This window comes from Homo sapiens, chromosome 1, assembly GCF_000001405.40.
Source record: "Homo sapiens chromosome 1, GRCh38.p14 Primary Assembly".
Taxonomy (NCBI): domain Eukaryota; kingdom Metazoa; phylum Chordata; class Mammalia; order Primates; family Hominidae; genus Homo; species Homo sapiens.
This window is the reverse complement of record NC_000001.11, coordinates 201,648,173-201,661,918: the sequence shown is the minus strand read 5'-3', so window position 1 is coordinate 201,661,918 and position 13,746 is coordinate 201,648,173. Positions and strand designations below refer to the sequence as shown.

General features: G+C 54.0%; 1 protein-coding gene across 4 annotated transcripts in view; it reads right to left on the bottom strand.

Moving 5' to 3' along the window:
• Window positions 1–13,746, bottom strand: part of NAV1 (neuron navigator 1) — a 287,843-nt gene that overhangs the window by 165,051 nt on the left and 109,046 nt on the right. For 3 of the 4 annotated variants that reach the window (NM_001389617.1, NM_001389615.1, NM_001389616.1), the window contains one exon: window positions 12,494–13,285. In NM_001389617.1, the coding sequence (NP_001376546.1) occupies window positions 12,494–13,285 (792 nt within the window). Of the gene's footprint in view, window positions 1–12,493; window positions 13,286–13,746 lie in introns of those variants that run through there. The other variant, NM_020443.5, reaches the window with a different exon arrangement.

Sequence of the window (13,746 nt, the reverse complement as noted above, 5' to 3'; positions counted from 1 at the left end):
AAGTGCTTAGAACAGTGCCTGGTGCATAACATATAATAAATGATAGATATTATGACGAGTCCTTAAATCTTCCATGAAGAAGCTAACTTCTCCGCTAGATGCAGCACTCTGGGAAATCTAGTCTAGAAATCAGGGGCTACAGGCTGAGGGTGAGCGGAGGGGAGAGTAAAAGGGAAGTCGTTCCCTGAAATGCTGATGGGGCTGACATCTGCAGAACCAGCCATGTGCCAGCCTCTGCACCAGTCCTTTCCCATGCAGCATCTCATCCAGTCTCCCAGATCTGGGAGCTGGGGAGTCTAATCCCTATTTTACCAGGCAGTTAAGTGGCTTATTCAAGATCAACAGTTAGTGAGTGACAGAGCCAGCATTCCCAGTCAAAAAGAGGCAGACAAACAGCTTATTTCAGGCCCCCACTCTTCCAGACCATTCTAGTTATCCTCATCCCAGCCATTTTGGCCCTATTTCTTCCTGTACATCTGGGGAGGCTCTTCTTGAAGCTCCAGGGCTTTGCTCTGTCCAGCACTAGCCACGATACTGTATCCTAACCACCCCTCTGTGGGTCTGCTTCCTACACTAGACAGTGAGAGGCTTGGGAGGAAGGGTACTTGGCAGATACTGACTCTCGAGGAATGCTAAGGAGGGCAAGAGAGAACCGATTCCTATAGGCCTGGGCTCTAAGGACCATTGCTAGACTGATGTAGTGCAAGGGTTCTAGAACATCAAGAGGGCAGGGAGAGCAGTGAGTTGCTACTTGTGCAAGAGGCAGTAGAGTCTAGCGGCTGAATCATGAGCCTGAATCAAGCCTTGTTTAAGCTTAGCTTGACCGTGAACTTGCCACATTCCTTTGGGGTAAGTTGCTTAGCCTCCTTTAGGCTTCCTTAAGCTTCCTTATACCTAAATCTTATATAACAGTGTCAACAAGTCAACAAGCATGCACCAATAAGGCCATATTGGTTGCTAAAAAATATGAAACACTTCCTTACAGTAGTCAAATAGGTGCTTTTTTGAGCCCTCATGTGCTCCCCCTGCCACCCTGGCCACCTGGGCCCTTCCTCTGGGACCTCCACAATCCAGCAACCACAGTTAACAGGGGGCCCCCAGGACTCCTCCAGCTCTGAAACCTGTGAGGGTTGTCAAATATTTTGCATATGATCCTTGATTAATATCTCAGTGTGAGGATAAAATGGGTTTACGCAAACAAAGCGCTAGCACAGCTGGCAAACAGTGAGTGCTCAATAAATGTTAGTCCTTATTGTTGCTGATTTCCAGTGACTCAGACATGTCTGTGAGTGTTAAATGGTCCCCCACGGGTCCTCAGGATGAAGATGCCTGAACTATCTGTGGAGTGCATGGCCTCGATTAGAGTCTCAGGGGCTAAGTGTTCCCTTCCAAGGAGCCCAGACCCTGCAGCAGGCCCTCAGTGGTCCCAAAGCTACAGGCTGGGCTGGGAAACCTCAGAGAGTCCTGGGGTGCCAAGTAGGGAGGCCTGACGCTGGTGCTCCTAGGAGCCCAGTGGGTCCCTTGATGGTGGCAGCAGGAGCAGCAACAGCCTCTCGATGCTGCCTGTCAAGCAGCAAGCAAACCCCACTGGGCAGGCAGAGTGTCAGGCAGTGCAGGGTCTCAGCCCCGCCACTACAGCTGAGGAAGGCCACTCTCATGTCTGCTGCCATCCACTGTGGCAGTGGGAGCAGCAGCAGCACTGGCCTGCCTGCTCCCCCACCCCAAATAGGCTCTGCTGCCTTCCCTGCTGTTGTGACTCTCTTTCCCGGGTGCTGCAGTCATGGGCAGGATGACAGGGAGGCCATGCTGTAAATGCTCCACCCCTGGACATCACGTCACCATCAAGGCCCTGTGGGAGCATGAAGACAGCAGGACAGTACCTACACCCATGGCAACCTGTGAACTCTAGGACAATAGCTCCTAGGGACACCTGGACTCCACGGCAAAACCAGATCCTCTATGGCAAAACATTCTCACTCCTACAGCAATGGAATCCCATGGCAATGCCCAGGGCATGGCAACTGGAACAGCCAGTGGCATCTTAAAGGAACAGAGAGAGATGAAGGTTTGAGTTTAGGAGAAGGGAAACCCTCACTCCCCACAGGCTCTCCTACCCCAGCGCAGCCGGCTGTCTTCACTCCCTGAAGGACCATCTGCTCGGAGGGCTCCAAGCCAGCTAGTCCCCATCTAGTTCTCCTACCTTCAAACAAACAAAGCTGGATAACTGGAATGTCTTCTCCCATTGTGCCAAGTGTCTTGGATTCCTTTATTTATTTTATTTATTATTCATTTATTTTTAGGGACAGGGTCTTGCTCTGTCACCCAGGCTGGAGTGCAGTGGCCCAATCATAGCTCACTGCAGTTTCAACTTCCTAGGCTCAAGTGATCCTCCCACCTAAGCCTCCTGAGCAGCTAGGGCTATAGGCACAAGCCACCATGCCCAGATAATTTTTAAAAACCTCTTTTGTACGGATGTAGTCTTGCTTTGTTGCCCACACTGGTCTTGAATTCCTGGGCTCAAGCGATTCTACGACCTCGGCCTCCCAAAGTGCTGGGATTACAGGTGTGAGCCACTGTGCTCAGCCTCTGATTCCTATAAATATTCCTTTAAAACTCCTTTAAATTCCTCCCCAACTTCCGGCTCCTTCAGGAAGGCTTCTTGGATCAAACAATAAAGCTAGAGCTAGTACGTGGCACCACACCACTTATGCCTGCCACTGAATAGCGTGCAGTTGAAAAGCTCCCCTGTCTAGTCCCAAATTGGTTTAATGTCTTGGTTCTGCTATAGGTAGTCTGGTTCAAGCTTTGCTGTGGGTTGTGGGACTGTTTTCAGCAGAGCACTTCCCAGGGCTGGGGCAGTGGAGGAACAACTCTTGGTCAGGGCAGAGCACTGCACCTCACACAGTAGGGCCTAATCAATTCCCAGGGCATGGCAACTGGAACAGCCTGGTGGCATACCAAAGGAACAGAGGAAGATGAAGACTTGAGTTTAGGCTAAGAGTTAGGATAAGGGGTGCCCCTACCCTCTCAGAGGGCCAACCTCTGGGCATGGAGGCTGAAGGAGTCCTCTCCCTCCATCCATCCCATGTGGGCACTGCATAGGCTGCAAGAATAATCTTCCCTGGAGCAGACAGATGTGAAACTTGAGAGGCCCTGGCTGGCTGATCTCATCGATCAGCAACATCTCCAAGGACCAGCGGGCACAGGACTCTTTTGGGGATCCTTTGGGGACGAACTTTGATTGGTCTCTTCCACTCAAATATCTGCTCAGAGCCTACAGTTGAGTCCCAGTGCACTCCATGTCGGATCAGCCATGATCCCACCCCAACCTGTTTTTCTGATCTCATCTCCTCTTTCACCACCTTTTCCATCTCTCTAAGCCAGACAGGACTCATCACTACCTGCCATTAAGCCCACAGTTCCTCCTCCCTTCCTTTTCTAGTTTTTTTTACCTCTACTGCCAGAATCTCACCCTTCTATCAAAACTCACATCACTTCTGTAGCATGTCCCCTCCCCACCATCTCACATGTGCCCCCACACACCCTATGCACTGATGCCAATTCCAGCTGGCCGAGCCCTCAGTTGCCCTTTCTGGCTTCTTCGCAGCATGCTGCATTCTGCTTGTACTGGAATGAGCCTGGACACTTCTATCTCCTCATCCAGCCTTTCAGAACCTAGTAAGCAGGGCCCAGAACTTCAGTCTCAGGAAGCACAGTGCTCTGCCGACACTAACTTCTTGACAAGTTGCTCCTGAATTAAATGGAATCAGACTCAATGTTTGAGGGAGTCTTGAGGCTCCTGGAGGCAGGTTACCATAGGGGTTAAGTTTAAATCCTAGCTCTGTTGCTCGCTTGCTTTACTGGCTTTGGGCAGATTACCTGTATTCACACAGGGTCTTGATCTATTACCCAGGCTGGAGTGCAGTGGCGTGATCTCAGATCACTGCAACCTCCACCTCCCGGGCTCAAGTGATCCTTCCACCTCAGCCTCCCAAGTAGCTGGGACTACAGGTGTGAGCCACCACTCCTGGCTAATTTTTTGTATTTTTAGTAGAGACAGGGTTTTGCAATGATGCCCAAGCTGGTCTCAAACTCCTGAGCTCAAGTGATCCACCTGCCTCGGCCTCCCAAAGTGCTGGGATTACAGGTGTGAACCACTTTCCCTGGCCAGATTACCTGTATTTCAGTGCCTCAGTTTCCTCACTTGTAAGTGCCAGGATCATAGAATTATTGTGAGTATTAAGTGATGGGCCAGGAGAAAGCCCCGCCAGGTGCCGTGGGTCCCCGGCAGGGAGCCACTCTGAGATGCAGACAGTGAGGTCCAGGTGGAGAGCTGGACTCCACTGGGCCCGTGAGTCAGGGTGAACAGGTCAGACATCTCCTATCAGGTCTTGTTCCAAAGAAGAGAAATGGAAGAAAAATGGAAGGAAGAAGCAAAAGCAGAAAGACGAATGGAGCATAGATAGGTGTCTGACCCCAAATATAAGAAAGGGGATCCTGGGAAATGCAGGCTAGCTTCATCTGTAAGCATCCAGAGAGCAAATTCAGACTCATGGGTAGAAATTCTCAGAAGACAGAATCAAAGCTCAACAGAAGAAATATCTTTCTAATAATGAGTGCTTTCCTGGAAAATAAGGTAGTGAGCCCTCTGTCACTAGGAGAGTGTAAACAGAACACCCACCTGCCTATGATGCTATAGTGGGATTAATTTTGGCTTGAGGAACAAGAACAATGACTTTCACTTACCAAGTGATTGATACATGTTATTGATAACCATTAGATTACTGATTCTTTTGATTCTTGAGCTTTTCATTTCCCCCTTGGGATAATCAGGTCCCAGGAGCTCCTAGGAAGCAGCCTCAGTCTGGGGATGTTGGAATCCTAGACCCCATGACAGTTTAGGGATCCTACAGAGAGAAGGCAGGGCCTGCTGGGTGGCTGCCAGCTTCCCCAAAAGGGAGGGGCCTGGTTAGTGGGTCACCAAGGGCAAAGGGGCCTGTGTCCTCAGAGTCTGAGGAGTAACCAGCACTTACAGTGCTTTTCTGGGAAAGAAGCCAAGGAGTCCAAACCCCAGCGGGCTCTGCCTAGGGGTCTGTTTGGGGGAAGCTGTTCCACCAGGGTCATATTTCAGACTCTTTTAAACCTGCCCAGCTGTTACATATACATGCACGCAAATGTCCCTTCAGTATGTGCATATGTGCTGCAAGCCGGTGAGTTTGTTTACATGCACTGATCCATGTGAACACATGCCATTCACTGCACACTTAGTCTTCACACCCTGACACCCAACCTCACCCGAGTTCTAGGGGTTTGTGCCATGTGCCATACAACCTATTAACCCAATAGCTCTCGTCATACTTGCCTCAGTCTTGCTTTCTCAACATTCGCTATCTTCCTGCTCAGCCCAAGGTCGTAGTTTATGAGCCCAGCTCTCCATGGAAACACCTGGAGCTTATAACATTCAACCTTTCAGACCAGACCACACCCAACAGCAACACCTCAACTGGATAACCTTGACCACAACTCTGAGATTCCATAAGAACCAACGCTGGGAACACACACAGCATACTGGGGCTTGGGACTGCACTTGTCCCTGCTTTCCACACCTCTAACTCACAGGAGAAAGCACCCTGAGAAGCCCAGAGTGAAAGCTGTCGCCCAGAAATTAGAAGATGCTGTGGAGAAACCACCCACTCCAGTGGCCCTGAAATGTATCATTGAGATGTCTAAAATAGATTCCAGGATGGCTCAGGCCAAGGCCCAGACCCTGCCGAGCCCTGGCTGCCTTGCTGAGGTTTGGCTGGAGCTGAGTTGGAGAAGTGTGTGTCAAACACGCAACATACAACAGCGCTGGCAGGGAGAGCCTGGGGCCTGCTGGAGCCAAAGCTCTTAGGGGGTGAACCTGGAGATGGGCTGCTCTCCATGCCCTCCCATCTCTACCTCAGCACCAGAATGGGCTGGAGCAATCTGGAAACTCCCAATGGGTCCTCATTCTCCCCTAATGGGAGCTTCCCACCTATGCAACACACCCCTCCACATTCCAAAGGCATCAAGTCTGAGAAAAAAAAAAGGTGCTTATAGAAGGTGCAAAGCACCATGGTGAAAAGCGGGTCACCCTGCTTATCCCAGGCACACGCTGCTGTGCCCACACTGGACAGCCATGCCAGACACACCTTAAGTGCAACTCTGCTCCTCCCTCAGCCTCCAGATGGGAGATCAAAACAGTTCCTGGGGCATCTTCCCAGTCTGCCCCCGATCTCTGTGGGTCAGAAGGAAGCAAAGACCTGCCTTCATTGAACAAGGGGGAGCTGAACCCTGAAGGCGCTGGTGTCCTGCTTCCTTCAGGAGGCCCAGTCCCCAGAAGCAGCAGTGTGGGGGAAGGTGTGGGAGGTGATGTCTGCCTCCTATAGGAGGGAACCTGCCCACGCAGGGCCAGTGAGCTGGGCCTGGCCCCCCCTACCTCCCCACCCGGCCCTTCCTGTGCATGAGAGAAAAGGCCGCAGGCTCTGGGACATCAAACACATCTGGGTAATCCAAACAGGGTGTGGGGGGAGGTCAGCCAGCGCAAATGAGAAACATGTGGCGTCCATTTCCCCTTGTTGGCTGGCTCAGGCTTTCCAGGCAGAGGGAGAAGGCTTTGGGCTTTGGGCTTTGGGCTTTGGGGAGGAGAGCTTCCTGGTTGGGCCAGGAGAAAGACCAGCCAGGTGCTGTGGGTCCCCGGTAGGGAGCCACTCTGAGATGCAGACAGTGGGGTCCAGGTGGAGAGCTGGACTCCACTGGGCCCGTGAGTCAGGGTGAACAGGTCAGACATCTCCTATCAGGTCTTGTTCCAAAAGAAGAGAAATGGAAGAAAAATGGAAGGAAGAGGCAAAAGCAGAAAAGACGAATGGAGCATAGATAGGTGTCTGACCCCAAATATAAGAAAGGGGATCCTGGGAAACGCAGGCTAGCTTCATCTGTAAGCATCCAGAGAGCAAATTCAGACCCACGGGTAGAAATTCTCAGAAGACAGAATCAAAGCTCAACAGAAGAAATATCTATCTAATAATGAGTGCTTTCCTGGAAAATAAGGTAGTGAGCCCTCTGTCACTAGGAGAGTGTAAACAGAACACCCACCTGCCTATGATGCTATAGTGGGATTAATTTTGGCTTGAGGTAGTGGCTCAACTAGACAATTTCCATTCTAGGATTCTATGAAATCTCAGGGAAGGGTGAGGGAGATGGAGCGCTCTGCAGAGAGAAAGGGACTTGGCTATCCAGGAAGACATTGCAGTGTGCTGCAGAGGTGGCTAAGCTGCAGTTATGGACCCTGAGGGCTCTGCTCAGCCTGCTCCATACAGCACTGGCTCTCCCTTGCACCACGTGGAGCAGCTTGCACCTTCACCCTCAGGGTCAGAGGCTGTGAGGTGCGGTATATGTGTGTGGAAGGATAGCTGCAGAGAAAGGCAAGATTGGAGGTCAGCAGAAGGGGAAGGATCTGGTGTTGGCAGCTTGTGATGGGGGTGGGTGGTAGGGGGTGGGAGGTAGGGGGTGGGCATTTGCAGCCACAGTATCAAATTGGGCAGAGAAAGTGGGAAGGGGTGAAACAAGAAGAAAGTGTCAGGAAACATCCCAGGACTCCAGGTGACTTGGTCCTGCTACCCATTCAATGCAGGTCTAGAAGGGGCCTGTGGCCTGGGGTTAGAGCCATCAGTGATGGATGGTAAAGGGTATCTCCCTGGGTTGGCTTAAGGTTCAGGGAGCCAGAGTAGCTCTGGGTACTTCTCCTCCATCTGTACCTTCTCCCCAGGGCAGAGGAACTGCCCCTAGGACCTACTTATTCATCCATGCGGTACTCTCAGAGGCAGAGCCATGGGCTGTGAGTCAAAGCCAACAGCTTTTGACTGCAGCAGTCAGAACAAGGCAATGCCCAAAGGAGAGGAACATGACCTGGGTGGGGGCCCAAGCCTAGCCTTGGAAGAAAACTTTCTGGACACGGTGAGAAAAGAAATATTATTGGTACCAACCTGGAGGAAGGCAGGAGGCCTCACAGCTCCAAGGTTTTGTGCCAGTGCCTTCTCTACACACATACACACAAACCTGCAGGCTGCTGCACCTTGCCACAGCCCTTCCTCCTGCCTGTGATTCCACAAGCATCCTCCATCACTACTGCTGCTGCCCAGAGGAAGGGCAGGAGTGAGCTTTGTCCTCACTCTCCTGCTAGGCCTCAGGGAATCTGAGGGTGCTGGATAAGTTTCCACATATCACCTATCTGTTCTGGGTGGCAGTTCTTTGGAGAATTCTCTACCCACCCCAGCCCCACAATGCACTGAATAAAAAGGAAAACGAAGTATTTGTGAACACATTTCTTTCTCCTGCTACTCAAAGTATCCCAGAGCACATTCACTGGAGCGACCCCCTTGCACTGCCCCTCCCCCCCAAAAAATTCACATCAATCAACTGGCTTAGAAATGAATAGCTTCCTGCCTTTCTTCCTCATTTCTACTTGGCCTGCACTTCAGAAGGCCTAACTGTTGTCATGACAACCGCTTGTGTGGGTCCAGACACCTTTGAGATGAAGAGGGACTAGGAAGTCCAGGTTCCTGGGTTCTTTTACTCCCTGACCTTGGGCAGTCTTAGCTGTCTCACTTTGCCCCCTTTTCCTGGAGGACAGAAGGAAGGAACATGAACACCTGGAGTGTCAAAAGACTAGTTTTGCTTTGAGATCCTCAGGTCCAGGGAAGATGAGGTAGGAAGATTTGGGGTGTTACTATAGTACAGACAGTCCCCGACTTGTGATTGTTCGGCTTCTGCTTTTTTGGCATTATGATCACATGAAAGTAATACATTTGGTAGAAACTATACTTCTAGTACCCATACAACCATTCTGTTTTTCACTTTTAGTATAGTATTCAATAAATTCCATGAAATATGCAACTTTATTATGAAATAGGCTTTATATTAGATGATTTTGCTTAACTGTAGGTGAATATAAGTGTTCTGAGCACGTTTAAGGTAGGCTAGGCTGAGCTGTGACGTTCGGTACGTGAGGTGTATTCAATGCATTTTTGACTTACAATATTTTCAACTTACAATGGTCTTAACGGGACATAACCCCATCATAAATTGAGGTGCATCTGTATTCTATTGCGCTGTATTAATACAGGCTCTCTTTAAGCCACTTGGAACATTTTCCAGGTCTGATCACCTTAATCTACACCCCCTTCCCATCCCTAGGGGGTAAGGATGAGCCATGGGAGGGTCTCTTCCATTCACAAATGAGGAAACTGAGTCCCAGAGGGGGTCACAGAGCTTAGGACTTCTACACAGAGAACTCAGGAATGCAGCCTCCAGCTTAGCCCCCAGACCCAGGCCAAGGGCCTTGTGGCCTTTCTTCCGGAGCCAAACTGCCTGATGTGAGTATCGGGCCAGGGTCCAGAGGCATCTAATTCCTGGAATTAGCCCATTTGCCCTCGGTACTCACTCCTCAGTCTTCCAAGTTGCTAGGGTTCCCCAGTGGGGCCCTAGTTATTTGGCAGCTTCCAAGGTTAGCGAAGGGACAGGGAGCCTGCCTAGACCATCTGGGACCCCAGCTGATTTCTGGGAAGGGGATGATCAGGTTTCAGTCCTTCCCTCTTATTACAGAAAGGCTCTGACTTGAAGCTGCCTCACTCCCACCCCCTCCCTCCGCCTCAGAAATTGATTCTTGGCAGCCTCTTGGATCTAGGATGGTACTATGGAGTGAACATAACTGGACACTGAGCCCCACTGAGGTGGGGACAAATGCCCAGTGTCTTCAATCACAATCCTGAAACATCAAGTCACCATTCTTCTCCCCAGAGGCCACCCTGCTGTACACTGAGGGCCTGTCTGATACCTGAACACCACCATCATTGGCTCTGGAAGACGAATTCCCTCTGTAGTTCCTCTCCCTCTACCCCTCCCCCAGGCAGTCTACCCTCTGCCCTTCACACAGGGAAAAGCTTAGTTTGGAGGTCACCAACTCCCCTCCTTTCCTCCCTACCACTGTTTGACACCAGGCTCTGCCTTGCTACAGCCTGAACCAACTCCCCACCCCCCAACTTTGGGTCCTCTCAGCTGGAGACAGGCAGATTTGGGAGTTTCCACCCTTCTCTCCCCACCCCAGAGAGCTAAGCCCCTCAGCCCTCTGTAGGGTCATCGAGGCAGTTCTGGTGGCCCATACCCAGTAGACATAGCCTTGGGCAGGTCCCTCTGCCTGCTGACTCTTCCTCTCTCAATCAGGTCTCCTAGGAAGAGCTGCGACTTAGTCCTCAGGAGATCAATGTGGAATCTCCCTTCCACCATGAACTCATAGATGCCTTTAAGGCCCTCAATGCTTTTGACTCTGCATTTCCCCAACTGGGAAGTGGAGGTGTTCTCTCCTCACTTCCGAGGTTACTGAAAGTGTCAGTGTGCTTTGAGAAGTGACAACTGCTAAGCAGGAATAAGGGACCACAGCTCAGCTTCTCCTCCTCTCTCGCCCTCCCTGCACCTGCCCTCCTCCCCACTCCTGCCCCTCCTCCCATCTCCCTAGCCAGCTCAGACCTGTTTGGCTCCTCTTGAGGAGCAACTAAGAGGGCTTCAATGGGCAGTCAGCTTCTGGGACAGTGTGAGGGCATCCAGGTCTGGAGAGGACCCAGACCAGCTAAGTTATCCCCAACAAGTAAAGCCTTGACCCTGAAAAGGGTTCTGTGCCTTCTGCTATTCTGTGCCCCGATACTCCCTTGCCCTCCCTCGCCAAGTCCCTCTCTCAGTCTGACACACACACACACACACACACACACACACACACACACGGTCCCTTCCTCTCTCACCCTGCTTTCAGTCCCTCAGCAGGGCTCTCTATCACATGGGCCAGTTGCATTTTGTCCATATCCCTCCTTGGTGCCTGCCATGGTGCCTGCCAAAAATTTATTAATTTTTTCCCTTATTGTCTCTCTTGCCCCATTCACTGAGGCAGGGCCTTTGACAGGCTCAGCCCCACACTGAGGACCGGGTGGCACATTCCCTTTGCAGAGTGAGGCTGCCTGGTCAGCTTCCGCACCCACCCAGCCATCCCCACCTTCAGGAGGGGCTCCCAGGGGAAAAGGCTGCTCTTCTTTTGCCCTTGTCCAGTCTCCTGATTGCCCCTGCAAAGCCCATTTGCGGCCTCCTGCGTAAGGATCGGTTCTCCAAAGGCCCAAATCCTTGCCCCTGTCAGAGGACCCTCATCCTAGCCCACACAGGAGTCGAGGGTTCCTAGGAAGACTGCAGCAGGCCGAACCGGTCTCCTCCGGCTTCGCATTCTCCAGGGCCGCCCGGCGAGCTCTTGCATGTTCCCCACCCGCCAAGCCCGTCACTCGGCCCCGCCCTTTCACACGCGCATTGGCACGCCCCTTCCCAGCCCCCAGCGGGCGGGCAGCCTGCCGGGTACCCAGGAAGCTCGGGTCCCTCGGCGCCGGAGGACCCACAACCCAGCCACCGCAACAAGTCCGCGCAGCCAAAGCAGCTCGCCTGGGCACCAGGCCCCACCGTCCTTGTTCCGTGGCCCCAAGAGGGCCCGTGCCAGTTCCCGAGGCATGGCCGCCTGGCGTCCGGCACATCCCAGATCTATTCCTCTCTGAGGGCAGGGGCTCTCCGGGGAGAGAAAGAGCAGTTCCGGGGCCCGCTTCGGGTTTTTTTGCATAGACTCTTCAGGCACGGAGAACAATGGAACAGCTCTGCGCGCTTCCTCCACTCGAGCAAGCTTTGTTCCTCCCTTCCCGCCTGCTCGGCTTCCATTAGCCACAGGGCAAAGGCTTCCCGGTCAAACAGGAGTCTCGGCGCTAACGCCCAGAGCTTTCGACACGCCCTAAAAGACCTGCGGGTGTAGGGGTTGGGGCCAGAGCCGGGGCTGAGGTATCGGACATGCGCCCAGATGCGCACAGCTGGCAGCCCGCCCGCCCCCGGCCCTAGACGCTTCTTTTAGCCAGAATCCTCACACCGCGGGGAAATCCGACTTGCGCTCCCACTCGGGATCCACAGAGGAAGTGGAGCCTCAGCTGTGTTCCGGGGCCAATCAGCCCTCACATCTGCTCTCCCACATCTGTCCTCTAGATCCGGGCTCTCGCTGGACGCTCCCCTTGCAATGCGGGATGCTCCTGTCAAGCGCAGGCCACACCACAACGGAGGTTTCCACCAGTCCCAGGTTTTGCCATATTGGGATTCTGGCTCTATTTCTGAGAGCCTGTAACCCCCTCACCCCCCATCCCATTGTCCAGCCTCACCTCGGGCAGGCCAGAGTCGAGCCCGGGTTCCCGCCTGTAATGTCTTTAAGAAGGTACACTTGAGCCATGCGCATCTGGAGGTGGGCCAGCTCAGCACATCTGGGCGCAATGCCCATCACAGCCTGATCGTGAACAGGAGGGCCCTCCGGGAAGGCGCAAGGGGAGGGGGCTTCGCTTTCCCCACACCTTCCCCAGCAGCTGGTTAGGAGAAAGCCAGGGGCGGGGCGGGGCGGGGCGGCAGGACTTACCCAGCATCTGGCTGAAGAGCAGCTGCTCCAGGTCTCCCAGCACGGTCACCACCAGCTCGGGGTCCACCTTGAGGAAGGCGCGCTCCTCCTGGCCCTTGGCAGAGGGGACAGGCCCAGAGCTCTTTTGCGCCTTGGCCTTGCTGGAGAGCAGCTCGTCGTCCGATTTGCCATCTTCGCTCACGGCCGCTTCAGGCGCCTTGCTGAGCGGCTTGACCTCCGCATAGGGTCCTCGAGGGATCCGGCTCGGCTTTCCCAGGTTGGGCGCGAGCGGAGCCAGGGGGGTCTTGGCGCCGCCCGCCGGGCTGCCCTTGGCCTGGAAGAGCGAGTGCTCCGACTTGGACAGCGTCTTGGACATCAGCGGAGCTTCACGGCCCTTGGACCCCACCTTGCCTAAGCCTTTGGGCGCCTTGGCCATATCGTCGCTCCATTCGGGCTCATAAAGCTGCAGCTTTTTCTCGGAGTCCGTGAGAAAAGAGAGGTTGGTGAGTGACTTCTGCTTGCGCAGGTTGGAGGCGGGCGGCCCGCCGGGGACACGGCTGTCCACGCTGCCGGACTTGAAGACCTTCAGCTCAGCCGCGCTGGCCTTGGCCATGCCGCCGCCGCCGCCGGGCGCCTTGGCGCGCTTGGGCAGCATGCCTCTGCCGTCCGCCGCTGCCGCCTTCCTGCCGGCGCCCCGCGGTTCGTCCGCGCCCTCGTCGCCGCCGCCGCTGCTCAGCTCCACCTCGGGCTGCACGCTCTTGACGCTGCTGCCCAGCATTCTGCCCGCGAGGAGCGCATGGACGATCCGCGCGTCTGCAGGCACGGGGGGAGGGGGCAGGGGGCGGGAGCGCAGGAGGAGGAGGCGGGGGAGGAGGAGGGGGAGAGAGAGGACGGAAGAAACCGAGGAAGAAGGGGAGAGAAGGGGGAGAGAGCGAGGGAGGAGGGAGAGAGGCAAGCCGAGGGCGCAGGGGAAAGAAACGCGAGGAAGGAAGCCGGGAAAAAGGAAAGAGCAGGGAAGCCGGGGAGCGATAGGGCGGGGTCGGAGGAAAAGGGGCGGGGCGGCGGGGAAAATACAAATTAAAATTTAAAAATCAGTCAAAGGAAGGATGGAAGCCCCGCGGCTCCTCCGGCGCCCAGCGGTGCTTTTGCTTTGGTGTCCGGATCCCAGCCCGCGGCCTGCCTGCCTGTCAGTCCCGTGGACACCGCACTGCCGGGCAGCGCCCCGGCCGCACTCAGCCAGCCAGCCAGCCCGAGTCGAGGCTGCAGGCTGCAGC